This window comes from Homo sapiens, chromosome 6, assembly GCF_000001405.40.
Source record: "Homo sapiens chromosome 6, GRCh38.p14 Primary Assembly".
Classification (NCBI taxonomy): domain Eukaryota; kingdom Metazoa; phylum Chordata; class Mammalia; order Primates; family Hominidae; genus Homo; species Homo sapiens.
Window position 1 is genome coordinate 151,333,877 of NC_000006.12, and position 21,642 is coordinate 151,355,518.

A 21,642-nucleotide genomic window follows, 5' to 3' on the forward strand; every position below is an offset into this window, starting at 1 on the left:
GCTGGGGAAAGCGAAAAAAGTGAAGAAGAGGAGGTGAGGAGGGGGAGGTCAGCACAGGAAGAAGGGTCCTGGCCACCTTTGACCCATACTTGGGGTAAAGGACCTGCATCTGGCCAGGCTCTGTGGCTTATGTCTGTAATCCCAGCACTTTGGGAGGCTGAGGTGGGAGGATCACTTGAAGCCAGGAGTTCAAGACCAGCCTGGGCAACATAGCCAGTTCCTCCATCTCTACAAAAACAAACACAAAACAAAAACAGAAAAGGGATCTGCATCTTTACATGGTGCAAATAAAGAAAACTAGAAGATAGGGAGTTAACTTGAGACATACTATTATGTGCTCCTTTTCTCCCCTTGAAATGTTGATGCAGGAAGTCAGGGTGGTAAAAAATAGGCACAATGTCACATTCAGCTTCACAAGATTTGAAAGTGCATCTCAGCTGGGAGCGGTGGCTCACGCCTGTAATCCCAACACTTTCAGAGGCCGAGGCAGGTGGATCACCTGAGGTCAGGAGTTCGAGACCAGCCTGGCCAACATGGCTAAACCCCATCTCTACTAAAGATAGAAATATTTAGCGGGGCGTGGTGGTGAGTGCCTGTAGTCCCAGCTACTCAGGAGGCTGAGGCAGGAGAATCGCTGGAACCCTGGAGGCAGAGGCTGCAGAGAGCTGACATCATGCCACTGTACTCCAGCCTGGGCGACAGAGCAAGACTCCGTCTCAAAAAAATAAAAAAGAGTGCATCTCAACTTTTTTTTTTTTTCTTTGAGACGGAGTCTTGCTCTGTCGCCCAGGCTGGAGTGCAGTGGCGCGATCTCGGCTCACGGCAAGCTCCGCCTCCCGGGTTCACGCCATTCTCCTGCCTCAGCCTCCCGAGTAGCTGGGACTACAGGCGCCCGCCACCATGTTCGGCTGATTTTTTGTATTTTTTTAGTAGAGACGGGGTTTCTCCGTGGTAGCCAGGATGGTCTTGATCTCCTGACCTCGTGATCTGCCCGCCTCGGCCTCCTAGAGTGCTGGGATTACAGGCGTGAACCGCCGCGCCCGGCCTTCAACATTTTGTATTGGCGATTTTCAGTGACTTCTGGTCCTGAAAATCAAGAGCTTTCTGGTTCAGCAGAGCTGAAAGCTGTTCAATACTGCCCTCTTCTGTCCAAAACTCATTCAGGCATTTGGACAATGATTTTATACTCGGGAATGTTTTTGACAAAGCGTGATGGTGAAAATTGGACATTATCTAACCATGGGGACAGAAAAACAAATTGTGCAGCCATTAGGTCTTAGTTTTGAAGACTTTATTCAGAAAACAACACAAATAGTGATTATCTGGATGTTGTACTTATGAAAAATTTTCCCTATTCTCTGTATTTTAAAGTCTTCTACAATTTATACTGATTATGTTTGGAATTGGCAAAAAGTAAAATAAGTCGTTCTATTCTGAAGAAAACAAGCAAAAATATTAAAGTTTTTGTTATTTTTATAGAAAGCCAACTGATACTTCATCCTCATAACCAGCCTTAGTGTCCTCACCTATAATGTAAGTGACTTATGTTATAGGTGAGGACACTAAGAACAGAGATTTTCATTTTATTTTTATTTTTACTGTTGTTTGTTTGTTTGTTTTTGAGATGGAGACTCACTCTGTCACCTGTGCAGTGGCACGATCTCCACTCATTGCCACCTCCACCTCGAAAGTTCAAGCAATCCTCCTGCCTCAGCCTCTCAAGTAGCTGGGATTATAAGATGCACCACCACGCCCAGCTAACTTTTGTATTTTTAGTAGAGACGGGGTTTGACTGTGTTGCCCAAAGCTGGTCTCAGACTCCTGACCCCAAAGCGATCCTCCTGCCTCGGCCTCCCAAAGTGCTGGGATTACAGCCCCGTGAGCCACTGCACCTGGCCTTATTTTTCGTTTAGATTCAGGGGATACATATATAGGTTTGTTACCTGGATATATTGCATAATGGTGAGGTTTGGGCTCTAGTGTACCCGTCACCGGAGTGGTGAACATTGTACTCAATACTATTTTTCAACTCTCACTTCCCTTCCACCCTCCCTCCCTTTTAGAGTACCCAGTGTCTATTATTTCCATCTTTATGTCCCTGTGTACTCATTGGTTAGCTACCATTTATGAGAATATGCAGCATTTTACTTTCTGTTTCTGAGTTATTTTACTTAGGATAATGGCCTCCAGATCCTTCCATGTTGCTGCAAAGGACATGATTTCCTTCTTTTTCATGGCTGCATAGTATTCCATGGTGTATATGGACCACATTTTCTTTATCCAGTCAAACTTTGATGGACACTTGGGTTGGTTCCATGACTTTGCTAGTGTGAATAGTGCTGCAAGAAACATACAAGTGCAGGCATCTTTTTGATAAACTGATTTTATCTCTCTTGGGTAGATGCCAAATAATGGGATTGCTGTGTGGAATGGTAGTTCTGTTTTTTGTTCCTTGAGAAATCTCCATATTGTTTTCTATAGCTCTCTTACTAATTTACATTCCCACTGGCAATGTATAAATATTCCCTTTTCTCCACATCTGTGCGAACATCTGTTGTTTTTTGACTTTTTAATAATAGCTATTTTGGCTAGGCACAGTGGCTCACATCTATAATCCCAGCACTTTGGGAGGCTGAGGCAGGTGGATCACCTGAAGTCAGCAGTTCAAGACCAACATGGCCAACATGGTGAAACCCCGTCTCTACTAAAAATATAAAAATTAGCCAGGCGCGGTGGCATGTGGCTGTAATCCTAGCTACTCGGGAGGCTGAGACAGAATTGCTTGAACCCAGGAGGTGGAGGTTGCAGTGGAACTGAGATCACACCACTGCACTCCAGCCTGGGCGACAGAGCGAGACTCTGTCTCAAAATAAATAAATAATAAATAGCCATTCTGACTGGTGCAAGATTGTGGTTTTAATTTGCATTTCTCTGATAATTAGTGATGCTGAGAATGTTTTTGTATGTTTCTTTGCCGTTTGTATGTCTTCTTTTGAGAAATGTCTAAGAACAGAGATTTTGCCCAAGGACCCGGTGCTAGTAAGTGGTACAGCTAAAATTTAAACACCAGTCTGTCCCCAGAACTTCTGCTCTTTAATTTTCTTCCCCTCTGCCTGAATTTTTTTTCTCTCTTTGGTGGGGGAAAGTTAAGTCGTTTTCTTGTTGTTTAATACGTAGATAAAATTTATATTATGGTATGTAATGTGAAGCAAATATCGGATAGCCTCCTCTAAAATCAGGTTGGGTAAATCATCACTCTATATTTTGTTGTTTTCTATAATTTTTAGTAGTTACCTGCAATTCCGAGTGCATTCTTCCAAGTGATTTTTTAAAAAAAATAACTTCAGGCCAGGTCCGGTGGCTCACACCTGTAATCCCAGCACTTTGAGAGGCCAAGGTGGGTAGATCACCTGAGGTCAGGAGTTCGAGACCAGTCTCTACAGTTTAGTAGAGATGTGGAAACCCCGTCTCTACTAAAAATACAAAAAATTAGCCGGGCGTCGCGGCGGGCGCCTGTAATCCCAGCTACTTGGGAGGCTAGGACAGAAGAATCGCTTGAACCCAGGAGGCGGAGGTTGCAGTGAGCCGAGATCGCGCCATTGCACTCCAGGCTGGGCAATAAGAGTTTCCGTCTCGAAAAAAAAAAAAAAAGAAAGAAAGAAAGATAACTGTAAACATACAGAAAGTTGGAAAACTAAAATGAATACAGAGAACACCCATACCCTTTACTCAGATTCACCTATCCCAAATAGTGGGATATTGTCAACATTTTCCCTCGCTTGCTATATTTACTTTCTTTTTGTTGGGAAAACAAAACAAACATCAGTCCACGGGTTTCTGTTATAAGTCATGTAGGTATGAGATATATTAATAAATTCACTGGAGAAGGCTGGGCACAGTGGCTCACACCTGTAATCCCAGCACTTTGGGAGACTGAGGCGGATTGCTTTGAGCTCAGGAGTTCAAGGCCAGCCATGGCAAAATCCCTGTGTCTACTAAAAATACAAAAACTAGCCAGGAGTTGGTGGCTCACACCTGTAGTCCCAGCTACTCGGGAGGCTGAGGCTGGAGAATCGCTTGAGCCCTGGAAGCGGAGGCTGCAGTGAGCCAAGATGACGCCATGGTACTCCTGCTTGGGCGATAGAGGGACACCTTGTCTCAAAAAATTAGGGAAGCATTTGAAAGTAAGTTATATACATCATGGTCCTTTACTCCTAAATATTTCAGTGTGTATTCTCCAAGAATAGGGATATTCCCTTTCATAACCACAGTACAGTTATTGACAGTTATCAATATCATACATTTACGTTATTACAGAACTTTTCTATAATCTGCTTCTAATTTTGTCAGCTAATCTAATTATGTCCATTTTAAAGCATTCCTCTTTGCATTACAATATCCACCCTAGGGTCAGAGATTTTGTGTTGTCGTGTCTTTTTAGCTTCTTTTAATCTGGAAGACTTCTATAGCTTTTGTCTTTTAGACTTTGATATGTTCAAAGTATAAGTTCCCTCCCCGTTTCTACTCATTCCTTATTTGATGTTTCTTTTGCCTATATCAATTTAGGTTAGGTTACTCATTTTTTTTTTTTTTCCCCGAGATGGAGTCTTGCTCTGTTGCCCAGGATGGAGTGTAGTGGCGTGATCTGGGTTTACTGCAACCTCCGCCTCCCGGGTTTAAGCGATTCTCCCACCTCAGCTTCCTGAGTAGCTGGGACTACAGGCACCCACCACCACGCCCGGCTAATTTTTGTGTTTAGAGACTGGGTTTCACCATATTGGCCAGGCTGGTCTCGAACTCCTGACTCCAGGTGATCCGTCTACCTTGCACTCCCAAAGTGCTGGGATTACAGGCGTGAGCCGCTGCACCCGGCCATAGGTTACTCATTCTAAGCCAGAATCCTGCAGAGGTGATGTTGTGTCCTTCTCAGGGTATTGCACGCGGTGTCCATCTGTCCCTTGTAGGCTGATGTTAAGGTGTTTTCCAATTTCTCCACTGTAGAATTGGGCTTTTCTCCCTCCCTTTCAACAATAAGCATGTAAATATCCTCTCCTCTCCTCCATTTAGCACTTTAGCACCCATTGATTCTTGCTTTATCCAGCTTTCACTTTGATGGATGCTCGGGCCGATCTTTTGAATCACTATCTGTGAGTGGGTGGGTAGGATTTATGCACTCTTTTCAAAACGATGCATGACTGTAACTGTGAATAAACTCTGCCTTTCACACTGAAATAGAATTCAAATTGCTGTCCACATTAGACATAAAGCAGTTTTTCCATCTAAGTGTAGGAGTTGACATATCGAAATACTTGTTCTTGCCATAAGTGGCGCTTATGAACTATAAAAAGTTGTAATGATTTATGGAAAATAAGAATGTTTATGCTTTAAAAGTGTATGAAATTGACTTTTCTTTCAAAAAGACAAACTGTGTATTTTGCTCCTTTAGTGCCTTCACTCTAAGCACTACCCAGCCAGCCTTTGGCCCTCCTGAGATACCACACACCTATATGACGTTGGTCAAGTCATATGACCGTTTTTAAAAAGACTGTTTTTAAGAGCAGTTTCAGGTTCACAGCAAAATTGAGTGGAGAGTTCGGAGAATTCCCATGTGTCCCTTGCCCCAACGTCTGCATAGCCTCCCCCAACCCTTATCAACATTCCCCACCAGAATGGGTCATTTGTTACAATCAATGAACCTGCACTGACACATGGTTATCACCCAAAGTCCATAGTTTACATTAGGGCTCACTCTTGGTGGTGTACATTCTGTGGATTTGGGCCAATACATAATGATGTGTACCCACCATTACAGTGTCATGCAAAATGGCTTCACTGCCATAAAAATCATCTGTGCTTCATGTATTCATCCCTTCCTCCCCCAACCCCTGGCAGCCACTGCTCTTTTTACTGTCTCCAAAGTTTTGTCTTTTTCAGAATGTCATATAGTTGGAATCATACATTGTGTATCTTCCTCAGAGCGTCTTCTTTTGCTTAGCTATATACATTTAAGTTCCCTCCGTGTATTTTCATGGCCTGATAACTAATTTTTCTTTTTTTTTTTCTTTTTTGAGACAGAGTCTCGCTCTGTTGCCCAGGCTGGAGTGCAGTGGCGCGATCTCAGCTCACTGCGAGCCCCGTCTCCCGGGTTCAAGCAATTCTCTGCCTCAGCCTCCCGAGTAGCTGGGATTACAGGTGCCCACCACAATGCCCGGCTAATTTTTGTTTGTTTGTTTGTTTTAGTAGAGACGGGGTTTCACCATCTTGGCCAGGCTGGTCTTGAACTCATGATCTCATGATCCACCCACCTCGGCCTCCCAAAGTGCTGGGTTACAGTCATGAGCCACCGCGCCCAGCGGTGGTTTTTTTTTTTTTTTTTAGTGCTGAATAGTATTATGTTGTCTGGATATACCATACTTTATCCACTCACTTATTGAAGGACATCTGATTGCTTCCAAGTTTTGGCAATTATGCATAAAGTTGCTGTAAACATCTGTGTGCAGATGTTTTGTGTGGACATAAATTTTCAACTCATTTGGGTGAATACCAAGGAGCATGATTGCCAGATCATATGGTAAGAGTATGTTCAGTATGAAAACAAACCGCAGACTGTCCTCCCAAGTGGCTGTCCATTTGCGTTCTCACAGATGACTATTTTTGAAGTCCCAGTTGGAGGGAGCAGGTGAGCTCCACCTTCTAGCCCATAAGGCTCTGTAAGTGATGGCTTTGTGATGGGAACTTGACTGATAGCCTCATGGGCGAATGTGATGGGAACTTGACTGATAGCCTCATGGGCGAATACTCAAGAACTTAAAGCTCTTTACAACCAAGCCAAACCCACGAGCAGGTTCCACCATGCCTTGGCCATTGCCAGACAAAACCCCATTGTGTTTTTGCTTGATTTTCGTCCTGTGACACTGACATTTCAGGCCAGGCTAGTTGTTTTGCAGAACGTCCTTCATTGTGGATTCATCTGATTGTTTCCTCGTGATTAGATGCCGTTAAACATTTTGATCAGCAGAGCTGCAAAGATGAATTCTTGTCCTTCTGAGTGCCTCACATCAGGAAGCGCGATGACATCTGTTCCATTATCGAGGATAAGTCTGATCACTTGGTTAAAGTGGTGCCTGCCAGATTTCTCCATTGTCGAGGTCCTTTTTGTTTGTTTTTGTTTCTTTTTTTTCTTTTTTTTTTTTTTGACACAGTCTTGCCCTGTCTCCCAGGCTGGAATGCAGTGGCACGATCTCGGCTCACTGCAACCTCCGCCTCCCTGGTTCAACCGATTCTCCTGCCTCAGCCTCCCGAGTAGCTGGGATTACAGACATGTGCCACCACGCCCGGCTAATTTGTTTGTATTTTTAGTAGAGATGAGGTTTCACCATGTTGGCCAGGCTGGTCTCTAACTCCTGATCTCAGGTGATCCGCCCGCTTTGGCCTCCCAAAGTGCTGGGATTACAGGCGTGAGCCACCGCGCCAGGCCTCGAGGCCCTTTTTCTTTTAAATTAAGTGTCAGGGAAGTTCAGCGGCGGCTTGGCAGTTGGTTAGCAGGATGGTTTTCGGCCTCAGCAGGCTTGGGTTTGAAGAGACCCCACTGGGGCGGTCCGCAGGACCCCCGGGGGTTTCCTGGGAGGTCGAGGGCTGGCGCCGGGCGCGGGGAGGCTGCGTCTTTTGTGATGTTCGCGGCTGGCTTCCCGGGCCCAGGCTTTCGCGAGCTATGGCAGCCGGCAGGGGCGCGCTGGGCCTCACGGGCGGCTGTTGGGCTGCCCCTGCCGGCGGGCTGCGCGCGCCATGCCCTGGTGGAGTAAACTCTGCAGTGAGTAGCACGTGCACCCAAGCGGCAGTTCGCCCCGCAGCGATGGCGGACACGGAATCCCGAGGGCCACCAACTGTCCCTTAGGACCGGCCCGAGATGGGTGTGTGTGGGTTTTCCAGCCTCCTTCCTTCCCGTCCCAGGCTTGGGAAAGCCTCTCTACTGGCCAAGGCGCGCAGGGACAGGTCGGGAAGGGCCTGCGCCCGTGGCATCCCAGCCCAGGCTGTAGAGCCGCCCGCTGCCCTTGATCTTGCCCCAGCCCCCAGCCCTAGAAAGGAAAGGCCTCGTTCTGGGTCCCGTGACAGGTGCCAAAACGCTCTGCGCCAGCAGCCTACCTCCCCGAAGACTCTGGCTTGAAAGGGGAGTCGGGGGGTTGGAATGGACATGGCTGTGGCTGCGGTCAGCTGGGGAGGTGGGCGGCAGGGCAGGTCGAGGATGACCCAGGCCTCAAAAAGTCACCAGGATTTAGCGAAGTTGCCCTCACTGTAAGGCCTGGAGGCCGGCAAAGTGTGGGACGCAGAACAGAATGGAACAGGCCTCAACACTTGGGCTGCGCCATGGGGAGTGTGAAGCCCAGTGATGGGGCAGGCTGGAAAGTACGGTCTAGGCTTCAATGCGGGTTCCAAGCCCAGTGGGTGGCCACACGATCGCATGTGTTTTGGGGTCAGGATCTCAACAGCGCGGGTACAGATATAGGTACCTGCCAGACTAGGTAGGTTAGAAGACTATTCTCTAGGCCCTAAAGCCATTAGGAGTCCACAGCCTGTTGATGTGATAGAAGCGGTATTTTAGGAGGCTTTGCTTAGCAGGTACCTTGTATGGAGTGAGTAGATTGCCCCAGCACAGAGGGTACGTGGAGGCCGAAATCAGGCTGAAGCACAAAGCATGGAGGCGCCCGAAGATTGTTCTGACAATTGTAGCTCTTAGGATTACTTATGTTAAAAGAGACTGCAGACTAGTTGACCAGCTACAACTTAAAATTTTTCTATATACATTTTATTATGTGTTCAACTCATAACTCACTTACTCTATATAAAGAGAGCATTTGATTATTGTTAAGCTGTACTGAACTATCAATAGCTGTTCAGTAACAGCTACCTTAGATACTGATGGCAGTCGCCCAGGCTGGAGTGCAGTAGTGTGATCTCGGCTCACTGCAACCTCCACCTCCCGGGTTCAAGTGATTCTCCTGCCTCAGCCTCCCAAGTAGCTGAGACTACAGGCATGCGCCACCATGCACGACTGATTTTTGTATTTTTAGTAGAGATGGGGTTTCACCACTTTGGCCAGCGTGGTCTTGAACTCCTGACCTCAAGTAAACCGCCTGCCTCAGCCTCCCAAAGTGCTGGGATTACAGGTGTGAGCCATAGTGCCCGGCCCAATAGCTGTTTTGTTCTGCCTGCTGGCAGCTGGTTCACGAACCTTTATCTCCCTAGTTTTGACTATAAACATGTCGGCCCTTTCAGAATGAAGCAGAAGTGTTTCCAATGGAAACACAGATTTAAGAGTGGAGGGAAAATAGTGAGGGGGAAATGGTTGTGTGACACCAGCTTTCTACTCCTATATTAGCAACATGTCTCTGCATTTTCTGATTCCAGGGAGGTTGATGAGTGTTTGTTTTTAATCACATGCTTGCTGGCAGGATATGTAATTTATGTTTGTATTCTGTACTAGTGAAATCATACTAGAATAGAGTTTGTTACTGGAATTTTTCTTTTTTCTCTAGTATATTTCCAATTATTTTATCCAACTTTTTCAAAAGGAAAGTCACATCTCTTAAATGGCATTAGAAGTGTTTGCAAAAAGTTCTTTTGTGACCGCCAGGCACGGTGGCTCACGCCTGTAATCACAGCACTTTGGGAGGCTGAGGCAGGCGGATCACCTGAGGTCAGGAGTTTGAAACCAGCCTGGCCAACATGGTGAAACCTTATCTGTACAAAAAATACAAAAATTAGCCGAGCGTGGTGGCAGCCACCTGTAATCCCAGCTACTTGGGAAGCTGAGGCAGGAGAATCGCTTGAACCCAGGAGGCGGAGGTTGCAGTGAGCTGAGATCGAGCCACTGCACTCCAGCGTGGGTGACAGAGCGAAGACTGGTTCAAAAAAAGAAAAAAAGAAAAAAGAAATAGTTCATGGAAATACACTTAAGGAAGCCTTTGGATTTAACTATAAACAAATTCATCACAGTGTCAGTTTATAATAGGAACAAATAGAAACTTAAAGCATTTTCTTATTTCAGAATACTATACATGCTTTAAAAAATAATGGGAAGAGTGTATATATCTAAAATGTAGAAGTAGTTTAAATCGTCGATGTCTGGACTTTCTCTTTGAATATTTGCTTCAAAGTTTAATATGAGTGTTTAATTTTTCCTTATTGTTTGTTAAGTCTAATGTTGGTCACAAATGTGTATTTTATAAAGAGAAAAGGGAAATCCTTTAGGAATGCGCCTCAGATCAAAATAATGAGATTCTTGGGTTTTTCTTGAAATCTTCTTCGCTATCTGAAATGTTTAGTTCTCAGAGGTAAAACTAAAATGTTTTGTTTTAAATGCTATCTTAGATACTGATGGCAGAAAAAATGAGCCTTGCTGATTATCGAAGCTGTTACAGATGGTGAGTCTATGGCATCACCACTGAAGCAAAGGCCCTTATTGAGTCTCTGAAGAATAAGAGGCCCAGATAACCTATTCATCTATGAATATCCAAAAAATCTAGCAATATTTGAAAAGAAAAAAAGAACTTTAGCATAACTTAGAGAATAACAAGGTACAAGGACAAAAAAAAACTCTAGGTCACACTCTTGCCCTGACTTGGTTGGGTACCTCAGGCAGTTTTGTTGTTGTTGTTGTTGTCTGTTCATTTGTTTTTTGAGTCAGTCTCGCTCGGTCACCCAGGCTGGAGTGCAATGGCATGATCTTGGCTCACTGCAACCTCTGCCTCCCATGTTCAAGAGATTCTCCTGCCTCAGCCTCCCGAGTAGCTAGGGCTACAGGCACCCGCCACTACGCCTGGCTGGTTTTTGTATTTTTAGTAGAGACGGGGTTTCACCATGTTGGCCAGCCTGCTCTCAAACTCCTGACCTTAAATGATCCACCTGCCTGGACCTCCCAAAGTGCTGGCATTACAGGGATGAGCCACCTCGCCCAGCCTAGTTTTTTATTTAACTTTCTGGGGTTCAGTTTCAAAATAAAACCAAATAAGTAGTATGATGGCAATTTGTAGACATAGATTTGTAATATTTCATAAATAAGAAAATTAAATTGTTTTCAGAGTAATAAGATTATATAATTGGAAGGAATGTATGGATTTGGGGAAGCATTCTATATTTCTAAATATTTCTGCATTTCAAGTATTTATTGCTGTGTTCTAAGTCTTGTTGTATGTACTAGTTATAATTTTTTTTTTGGGGGGGACAGAGTCTTGCTGTGTCACCCAGGCTGGAGTGCAGTGGTGCGATCTCAGCTCACTGCAACCTCCACCTCCCGGCTTCACACCATTCTCCTTCCTCAGTCTCCTGAGTAGCTGGGATTACAGGCGCCTGCCACCACGCCTGGCTAATTTTTTGTATTTTTAGTAGAGACGGGGTTTCACCGTGTTAGCCAGGATGGTCTCGATCTCCTGACCTTGTGATCCGCCCGCCTCAGCCTCCCAGAGTGCTGGGATTACAGGCGTGAGCCACCGCGCCTGGCTAGTTATAATTATTAACCTTCAATTTGTGCTTAAAACATTAAGTATATTTTTTCAGGTTTTGTTAAGATCTTTTTGGTGTCCATTTTAATTGACCTGTTTAGTACAAAAATCGATATATGTCCTATATAGAAAATTAGAGGCTGGGGGCAGTGGCTCACACCTGTAATCCCAGCACTTTGGGAGGCTGAGGTGGGCGGATCACCTGAGGCCAGGAGTTCTCGAGACCAGCCTGGCCAACATGGTGAAACCCCATCTCTACTAAAAATACAAACATCAGCCAGGTGTGGTGACACATGCCACTAGTCCCAGCTACTCGGGAGGCTGAGGCAGGAGAATCGCTTGAACCCGGGAGGTGGAGGTTGCAGTGAGCCCAGATCACATCACTGCAGCCTGGGTGACAGAGTGAGACTCTGTCTTAAAAAAAAAAAAAAGAAAAGAAAAAAGAAAATTCAGACAAGCAAAACTAAAATAAATGACATTCGCATCCCCCAGAGATCATATGTGAAGGATGTGTGTGTATATGTGTGTGTGTGTGTGTGTGTGTGTGTGTGTGTGTGTGAGAGAGAGAGAGAGAGAGAGAGAGAGAGAGAAAGGAGAGACAGTTGTTTTTAAGCCAGAATGAGGTCATTGTATATACTGTTTGGTAACCTGCTTTTTGCAGTCAAATCTCTACCCTTTTATGTCAATTAAAATTCATCTCATCTAATCCCAAATCTCATACTCAGTATTTTCCAAGAAGACCCAAAAATGTCCTTTTGCTGTTTTTCCCTAACAAATATCCAATTCAGGATCATGCCAGGTACCTCTGGTTGTTGTGTTCCTTAAATCTCTTAATTTAACACAATACATCTCCCTCCTACTTCCCCCCATTAAATCACATTGACTTGACTTTTCCCCTCAGTGATTTTAAAATTACAAACCCGGAAAAATATAGTAAACACTTATATACACTTGACCTATTCGCCATTTATGGAAAGCCACATCATCCGCCCCACCACCCACTAAGCTATTTGGAAGTTACTTGCAGACAATCCTTTTGTGTTTCTGCTGGATTTTCATCCTTCTGTGACATTGACATTTCAGGCCAGGCTAGTTGTTTTGCAGAATGCCCTTCGCTGTGGATTTGTCTGGTTGTGTCGTTGTGATTAGATACCATTAAACCTTTTGGTCAGGAATGCCACGTAGATGAATTCTTGTCCTTCTCAGTGCTTCACACCAGGAAGCGCGATGGCATCTGTCCCATTATTGAGGATGTTAAATGTGATCACTTGGTTAAGGTGGTGCCTGTCAGATTTCTCCATTGCCAAGGTCATTTTTTTGAAATTAAGTAATGTGTATGTTGGTATTCTGAATGTACGTTTCCTGACAGCCTTTTACCCGATGGTTTTAGCAGTTTATGATACTTGACTGAATGAGTTATTACAATGGTGTCTGTAAATTGTGATTTTCTAAATCTAAAATTCTAACAATAATGACTTTGAGGATCAAAGTGGAAGTTATATCTATATTTATTGACATTTCTTTTTTCCTTAAAGAAGCGCTCCCTTCTCCTCATTTACCTTTTTTAGTATCACTCTCGATTCATGGATTCTTTTTTTATTCAATGTGTTGTAACCCATCAATGTCATCATTCTCTTTCTTTTTCTTTTTCACATCAGACGAGTAATGTGCCATCGTGGTGACAATGCACACATTGCACATGAACACCCAATCGTCACTCTCATAAAATACAAAGGATCCATTATTCTTTTCTATGCTTCAAAGTTTGGGCATTGGGAGCCCCTTCAAGCCAGTTCTTGTGTCCTTTTGACACCTCCATCAGCTTTTGAGCATCTCCTTTCTGTTACAACAAAATATTCTTCATACGTCCTCTGACCCAGCCTGGAATTTCTCCAAAGAGCTCTGGTCCCTTTTGGGGACCTGTTGAGGTCGGACTTAGTTACCACATAGAATGTCCCCTTCTTTAGATTTGTGTAGATACTTGTTTGTTCTTTAGCTTGTTCCTCAAACCCTATATTTCCTGTTAAGTGGGAAGTTACATCTAAAACTTGATGGATTCTTGTTTAAAATATGGGTGTGATGTGGGATTCCATCTTACATTGCAACAGAAGATGCACTACCTCGTTGACTCACTCTTAGAGGTGCCGTGACTACTTATGTGGAACTAATTTTTTGATAGTTAAGTTTGTCAACTTTCCCTTTAACAAGCAACAGAAAGAGCAGATAATTCTCTTTGAACCTGAATTTTTGAAGGTCATTGGAAAGAAGTAGACATTAATCTATTAAGATTTGCAAATCTCTGTAAGATCTCACTTTATCCTTGAATTGCCTCGCATTAAAGAAAGTATTAATTGGTCATATTTTTAAAATATTTAATTTTCACTGGGTGCAGTGGCTCACGCCTGTAATCCCAGCACTTTGGGAGGCCGAGGTGGGTGGATCACTAGAGGTCAGGAGCTCAAGACCAGCCTGGCCAGCATGGTGAAACCCCTCCCATACTAAAAATACAAAAATTGACTGGGCGTGTTGGCTCACGCCTGTAATCCCAGCACTTTGGGAGGCAGAGGTGGGTGGATCACGAGGTCAGAAGATCGAGACCATTCTGGCTAACACGGTGAAACCCCGTCTCTATACTAAAAATACAAAAAAAAAAAAATTAGCCTCCCTACTCGGGAGGCTGAGACAGGAGAATGGCGTGAACCCAGGAGGCGGAGCTTGCAGTGAGCCACGATCGTGCCTCTGCACTCCAGCCTGGGTGACAGAGTGAGACTCCATCTCAAAAAAAACAAACAAAAAAAACAAATTAGCTGGGCATGGTGACAGACGCCTGTAATCCCAGCTAATCAGGAGGCTGAGGTGGGAGAATCACTTGAACCTAGGACAGAGGTTGCAGTGAACCGAGATCGTGCCACTGTGCTCCAGCCTGGGCGACAGAGTGAGACTCTGTCTCAAAAAAAAAAAAAAAAAAAGTTAATTTTCTTGGGCTAGGCACTATAGCTCACACTTGTAATCCCACTGCTTTGAGAAGCTGAGACAGGAGGGTCACTTGAGCCCAGCAGTTGGAGAGCAGCCTGGACAACATAGTGAGATCTCATCTCTACAGAAAATAAAAAACTTAGCTGGACATGGTGGCATGTGCCTGTAGTCCCAGCTACTCGGGATGCTGAGGTGGGAGGATTCCTTGAGCCTGGGAGGTTGAGGCTGCAGTGAGCCGAGACCACACCACTGCCCTCCAGCCGGGGCAAGAGAGTGAGGCCCTGTCGGAGAAAAACAATTTTCTTGTATTGTAATCACCTTTTCTCTTCTCCCCACCCCCCCGCCCCTTTTTGTTAATAGTTGGACAGAGAGACTCTGAAGATGTGAGCAAAAGAGACTCCGATAAAGAGATGGCTACTAAGTCAGCGGTTGTTCACGACATCACAGATGATGGGCAGGAGGAGACACCCGAAATAATCGAACAGATTCCTTCTTCAGAAAGCAATTTAGAAGAGCTAACACAACCCACTGAGTCCCAGGCTAATGATATTGGATTTAAGAAGGTGTTTAAGTTTGTTGGCTTTAAATTCACTGTGAAAAAGGATAAGACAGAGAAGCCTGACACTGTCCAGCTACTCACTGTGAAGAAAGATGAAGGGGAGGGAGCAGCAGGGGCTGGCGACCACAAGGACCCCAGCCTTGGGGCTGGAGAAGCAGCATCCAAAGAAAGCGAACCCAAACAATCTACAGAGAAACCCGAAGAGACCCTGAAGCGTGAGCAAAGCCACGCAGAAATTTCTCCCCCAGCCGAATCTGGCCAAGCAGTGGAGGAATGCAAAGAGGAAGGAGAAGAGAAACAAGAAAAAGAACCTAGCAAGTCTGCAGAATCTCCGACTAGTCCCGTGACCAGTGAAACAGGATCAACCTTCAAAAAATTCTTCACTCAAGGTTGGGCCGGCTGGCGCAAAAAGACCAGTTTCAGGAAGCCGAAGGAGGATGAAGTGGAAGCTTCAGAGAAGAAAAAGGAACAAGAGCCAGAAAAAGTAGACACAGAAGAAGACGGAAAGGCAGAGGTTGCCTCCGAGAAACTGACCGCCTCCGAGCAAGCCCACCCACAGGAGCCGGCAGAAAGTGCCCACGAGCCCCGGTTATCAGCTGAATATGAGAAAGTTGAGCTGCCCTCAGAGGAGCAAGTCAGTGGCTCGCAGGGACCTTCTGAAGAGAAACCTGCTCCGTTGGCGACAGAAGTGTTTGATGAGAAAATAGAAGTCCACCAAGAAGAGGTTGTGGCCGAAGTCCACGTCAGCACCGTGGAGGAGAGAACCGAAGAGCAGAAAACGGAGGTGGAAGAAACAGCAGGGTCTGTGCCAGCTGAAGAATTGGTTGAAATGGATGCAGAACCTCAGGAAGCTGAACCTGCCAAGGAGCTGGTGAAGCTCAAAGAAACGTGTGTTTCCGGAGAGGACCCTACACAGGGAGCTGACCTCAGTCCTGATGAGAAGGTGCTGTCCAAACCCCCCGAAGGCGTTGTGAGTGAGGTGGAAATGCTGTCATCACAGGAGAGAATGAAGGTGCAGGGAAGTCCACTAAAGAAGCTTTTTACCAGCACTGGCTTAAAAAAGCTTTCTGGAAAGAAACAGAAAGGGAAAAGAGGAGGAGGAGACGAGGAATCAGGGGAGCACACTCAGGTTCCAGCCGATTCTCCGGACAGCCAGGAGGAGCAAAAGGGCGAGAGCTCTGCCTCATCCCCTGAGGAGCCCGAGGAGATCACGTGTCTGGAAAAGGGCTTAGCCGAGGTGCAGCAGGATGGGGAAGCTGAAGAAGGAGCTACTTCCGATGGAGAGAAAAAAAGAGAAGGTGTCACTCCCTGGGCATCATTCAAAAAGATGGTGACGCCCAAGAAGCGTGTTAGACGGCCTTCGGAAAGTGATAAAGAAGATGAGCTGGACAAGGTCAAGAGCGCTACCTTGTCTTCCACCGAGAGCACAGCCTCTGAAATGCAAGAAGAAATGAAAGGGAGCGTGGAAGAGCCAAAGCCGGAAGAACCAAAGCGCAAGGTGGATACCTCAGTATCTTGGGAAGCTTTAATTTGTGTGGGATCATCCAAGAAAAGAGCAAGGAGAGGGTCCTCTTCTGATGAGGAAGGGGGACCAAAAGCAATGGGAGGAGACCACCAGAAAGCTGATGAGGCCGGAAAAGACAAAGAGACGGGGACAGACGGGATCCTTGCTGGTTCCCAAGAACATGATCCAGGGCAGGGAAGTTCCTCCCCGGAGCAAGCTGGAAGCCCTACCGAAGGGGAGGGCGTTTCCACCTGGGAGTCATTTAAAAGGTTAGTCACGCCAAGAAAAAAATCAAAGTCCAAGCTGGAAGAGAAAAGCGAAGACTCCATAGCTGGGTCTGGTGTAGAACATTCCACTCCAGACACTGAACCCGGTAAAGAAGAATCCTGGGTCTCAATCAAGAAGTTTATTCCTGGACGAAGGAAGAAAAGGCCAGATGGGAAACAAGAACAAGCCCCTGTTGAAGACGCAGGGCCAACAGGGGCCAACGAAGATGACTCTGATGTCCCGGCCGTGGTCCCTCTGTCTGAGTATGATGCTGTAGAAAGGGAGAAAATGGAGGCACAGCAAGCCCAAAAAAGCGCAGAGCAGCCCGAGCAGAAGGCAGCCACTGAGGTGTCCAAGGAGCTCAGCGAGAGTCAGGTTCATATGATGGCAGCAGCTGTCGCTGACGGGACGAGGGCAGCTACCATTATTGAAGAAAGGTCTCCTTCTTGGATATCTGCTTCAGTGACAGAACCTCTTGAACAAGTAGAAGCTGAAGCCGCACTGTTAACTGAGGAGGTATTGGAAAGAGAAGTAATTGCAGAAGAAGAACCCCCCACGGTTACTGAACCTCTGCCAGAGAACAGAGAGGCCCGGGGCGACACGGTCGTTAGTGAGGCGGAATTGACCCCCGAAGCTGTGACAGCTGCAGAAACTGCAGGGCCATTGGGTGCCGAAGAAGGAACCGAAGCATCTGCTGCTGAAGAGACCACAGAAATGGTGTCAGCAGTCTCCCAGTTAACCGACTCCCCAGACACCACAGAGGAGGCCACTCCGGTGCAGGAGGTGGAAGGTGGCGTACCTGACATAGAAGAGCAAGAGAGGCGGACTCAAGAGGTCCTCCAGGCAGTGGCAGAAAAAGTGAAAGAGGAATCCCAGCTGCCTGGCACCGGTGGGCCAGAAGATGTGCTTCAGCCTGTGCAGAGAGCAGAGGCAGAAAGACCAGAAGAGCAGGCTGAAGCGTCGGGTCTGAAGAAAGAGACGGATGTAGTGTTGAAAGTAGATGCTCAGGAGGCAAAAACTGAGCCTTTTACACAAGGGAAGGTGGTGGGGCAGACCACCCCAGAAAGCTTTGAAAAAGCTCCTCAAGTCACAGAGAGCATAGAGTCCAGTGAGCTTGTAACCACTTGTCAAGCCGAAACCTTAGCTGGGGTAAAATCACAGGAGATGGTGATGGAACAGGCTATCCCCCCTGACTCGGTGGAAACCCCTACAGACAGTGAGACTGATGGAAGCACCCCCGTAGCCGACTTTGACGCACCAGGCACAACCCAGAAAGACGAGATTGTGGAAATCCATGAGGAGAATGAGGTCGCATCTGGTACCCAGTCAGGGGGCACAGAAGCAGAGGCAGTTCCTGCACAGAAAGAGAGGCCTCCAGCACCTTCCAGTTTTGTGTTCCAGGAAGAAACTAAAGAACAATCAAAGATGGAAGACACTCTAGAGCATACAGATAAAGAGGTGTCAGTGGAAACTGTATCCATTCTGTCAAAGACTGAGGGGACTCAAGAGGCTGACCAGTATGCTGATGAGAAAACCAAAGACGTACCATTTTTCGAAGGACTTGAGGGGTCTATAGACACAGGCATAACAGTCAGTCGGGAAAAGGTCACTGAAGTTGCCCTTAAAGGTGAAGGGACAGAAGAAGCTGAATGTAAAAAGGATGATGCTCTTGAACTGCAGAGTCACGCTAAGTCTCCTCCATCCCCCGTGGAGAGAGAGATGGTAGTTCAAGTCGAAAGGGAGAAAACAGAAGCAGAGCCAACCCATGTGAATGAAGAGAAGCTTGAGCACGAAACAGCTGTTACCGTATCTGAAGAGGTCAGTAAGCAGCTCCTCCAGACAGTGAATGTGCCCATCATAGATGGGGCAAAGGAAGTCAGCAGTTTGGAAGGAAGCCCTCCTCCCTGCCTAGGTCAAGAGGAGGCAGTATGCACCAAAATTCAAGTTCAGAGCTCTGAGGCATCATTCACTCTAACAGCGGCTGCAGAGGAGGAAAAGGTCTTAGGAGAAACTGCCAACATTTTAGAAACAGGTGAAACGTTGGAGCCTGCAGGTGCACATTTAGTTCTGGAAGAGAAATCCTCTGAAAAAAATGAAGACTTTGCCGCTCATCCAGGGGAAGATGCTGTGCCCACAGGGCCCGACTGTCAGGCAAAATCGACACCAGTGATAGTATCTGCTACTACCAAGAAAGGCTTAAGTTCCGACCTGGAAGGAGAGAAAACCACATCACTGAAGTGGAAGTCAGATGAAGTCGATGAGCAGGTTGCTTGCCAGGAGGTCAAAGTGAGTGTAGCAATTGAGGATTTAGAGCCTGAAAATGGGATTTTGGAACTTGAGACCAAAAGCAGTAAACTTGTCCAAAACATCATCCAGACAGCCGTTGACCAGTTTGTACGTACAGAAGAAACAGCCACCGAAATGTTGACGTCTGAGTTACAGACACAAGCTCACGTGATAAAAGCTGACAGCCAGGACGCTGGACAGGAAACGGAGAAAGAAGGAGAGGAACCTCAGGCCTCTGCACAGGATGAAACACCAATTACTTCAGCCAAAGAGGAGTCAGAGTCAACCGCAGTGGGACAAGCACATTCTGATATTTCCAAAGACATGAGTGAAGCCTCAGAAAAGACCATGACTGTTGAGGTAGAAGGTTCCACTGTAAATGATCAGCAGCTGGAAGAGGTCGTCCTCCCATCTGAGGAAGAGGGAGGTGGAGCTGGAACAAAGTCTGTGCCAGAAGATGATGGTCATGCCTTGTTAGCAGAAAGAATAGAGAAGTCACTAGTTGAACCGAAAGAAGATGAAAAAGGTGATGATGTTGATGACCCTGAAAACCAGAACTCAGCCCTGGCTGATACTGATGCCTCAGGAGGCTTAACCAAAGAGTCCCCAGATACAAATGGACCAAAACAAAAAGAGAAGGAGGATGCCCAGGAAGTAGAATTGCAGGAAGGAAAAGTGCACAGTGAATCAGATAAAGCGATCACACCCCAAGCACAGGAGGAGTTACAGAAACAAGAGAGAGAATCTGCAAAGTCAGAACTTACAGAATCTTAAAACATCATGCAGGTAAGCTTCCTTGTCTTCTAAGATAATTTTTCTCTTTTATGCCAATAGATGGCAAATTTGTTACATAAGGAATCGGGAGCAAATAATTAATGCCTTCGTGTAGAACCTTCAGTTGAGGAAAATAACTATCAACTAGATTCAAAGATCTAGGATAGTTTCATGGTTTTTGGTGATTGAAATGCCATTTAGTCTTATCGATGTTATGAAAAGAACGACTTCGTTTTACCTCCTAATGTGACTGCTTTAGAATAAAATAAAACGGCATGTGTGTGTGCACATGTGCGTGTTTGACCCAAAGGCATAAGAAATACATTGTGTTCACTCAACTATCTTGTTGAGTTTTTTTAAAAATAACTAGTGCTCCAATGGCTGGGCGTGGTGCCTCACGACTCCGTCTCAAAAAAAAAAAACAAACAAAAAAAACTAGTGCCCCCAAATGGGCTAATATTAAACTGCCTGAAATATAGCTGATGATAGCTCTTTCAGAAAAAATGGATTTTTTTTCCCCTAGCAGTAGTAACAAGTATTTTTAAAAATTTTCCAGCGCATATAATGACCGACCCTCACTGTGTTAGTTACTTGCAGTTGCTAGTAACTCCCCATCTTTGTGGTTTTTGTTTTGTTTTGTTTTGTTTTCTTGAGACGGAGTCTCGCTCTGTCATCCAGGCTGGAATGCAGTGGCGCGATCTCGGCTCACTGCAAGCTCCGCCTCCCAGGTTCACGCCATTCTCCTGCCTCAGCCTCCCGAGTAGCTGGGACTACAGGTGCCCGCCACCATACCCAGCTAATTTTTTGTATTTTTAGTAGAGATGGGTTTTCACCGTGTTAGCCAGGAGGTCTCGATCTCCTGACCTCGTGATCCGCCCGCCTTGGCCTCCCAAAGTGCTGGGATTACAGGTGTGAGCCACCACGCCCAGCCCTATCTTTGTTTTGTTTTTTGAGAGAGCCTTGCTGTGTCACCCAGGCTGGAATGCCGTGGTGCAATCATGGATTGCTGCAACCTTGACTTCCTGGGCTAAAGCAAATCGCCTGCCTCTGCCTCTGTCTCCTGAATAGCTGCTGGGACCACAGGCACATGTCATTACTCCGAGCTAATTGTTAAATTTTTTTGCAGACAGGGGTCTTGCTATGTTGCCCAGGCTGGTCTCAAACTCCTGGCCTCAAGAAATCCTCCTGCCTCACCCTCCCAAAGTGCTAGGATTACAGTCGTGAGCCACTGTGCTCAACCCATCTTCGTTTTCTTTTGTTTTGTTTTGTTTTTGAGACAGAGTCTCACTCTGTCACCCCGACTGGAGTGCAGTGGCGCAATCTCAGCTCACTGCAACCTCAGTCTCCCAGGTTCAAGCGATCCTCCTGCCTCAGCCTCCTGAGTAGCTGGGATTACAGATAACACACCACCATGCCCAGCTTAGTTTTGTATTTTTAGTAGAGACGGAGTTTCCCCCAGGATGGTCTTGAACTCCTGACCTCAAGTGATCTGCCCGCCTCGGCCTCCTAAAGTGCTGGGATTACAGGCATGAGCCACCGCACCCAGCCCTATCTTTGTTTTTTGTTTGTTTGTTTGTTTTTGAGACAGAATCTCGCTCTGTCGCCAGGCTGGAGTGCAGTGGCACAATCTCAGCTTACTGCAACCTCCACCTCCTGGGTTCAAGCGATTCTCCTGCCTCAGCCTCCCGAATAGCAGGGACTATAGGTGCATGCCACCATGCCCAGCTTATTTTTGTATTTTTAGTGGAGACAGGGTTTCAACATGTTGGCCAGGATGG

The 21,642-nt window shown here is 46.1% G+C and overlaps 1 protein-coding gene and 1 pseudogene across 5 annotated transcripts in view, besides 2 other annotated features; one reads left to right on the forward strand and one right to left on the reverse strand.

Moving 5' to 3' along the window:
• The window catches only part of AKAP12 (A-kinase anchoring protein 12), a 118,593-nt gene that overhangs the window by 93,910 nt on the left and 3,041 nt on the right, over positions 1–21,642 (forward strand). For 3 of the 5 annotated variants that reach the window (NM_005100.4, XM_017011517.3, NM_144497.2), the window contains one exon: positions 14,835–19,876. In NM_005100.4, the coding sequence (NP_005091.2) occupies positions 14,835–19,864 (5,030 nt within the window). In that variant the 3' untranslated portion in view covers positions 19,865–19,876. Of the gene's footprint in view, positions 1–7,829; positions 7,911–10,368; positions 10,422–14,834; positions 19,877–21,642 lie in introns of those variants that run through there. The other 2 variants (XM_047419579.1, NM_001370346.1) reach the window with 2 other exon arrangements.
• Positions 7,486–8,003: an enhancer, noted in NCBI's record as "H3K27ac-H3K4me1 hESC enhancer chr6:151662497-151663014 (GRCh37/hg19 assembly coordinates)". NCBI's record gives its function as "activates a minimal SCP1, AML or CMV promoter by ChIP-STARR-seq in naive H9 embryonic stem cells {active_cell/tissue: H9 hESC(naive)}" and the evidence as "EXISTENCE:reporter gene assay evidence [ECO:0000049][PMID:30033119]".
• On the reverse strand, positions 13,151–13,236 carry LOC124901550 (uncharacterized; annotated as a pseudogene).
• Positions 20,912–21,413: an enhancer, noted in NCBI's record as "H3K27ac hESC enhancer chr6:151675923-151676424 (GRCh37/hg19 assembly coordinates)". NCBI's record gives its function as "activates a minimal SCP1, AML or CMV promoter by ChIP-STARR-seq in primed H9 embryonic stem cells {active_cell/tissue: H9 hESC(primed)}" and the evidence as "EXISTENCE:reporter gene assay evidence [ECO:0000049][PMID:30033119]".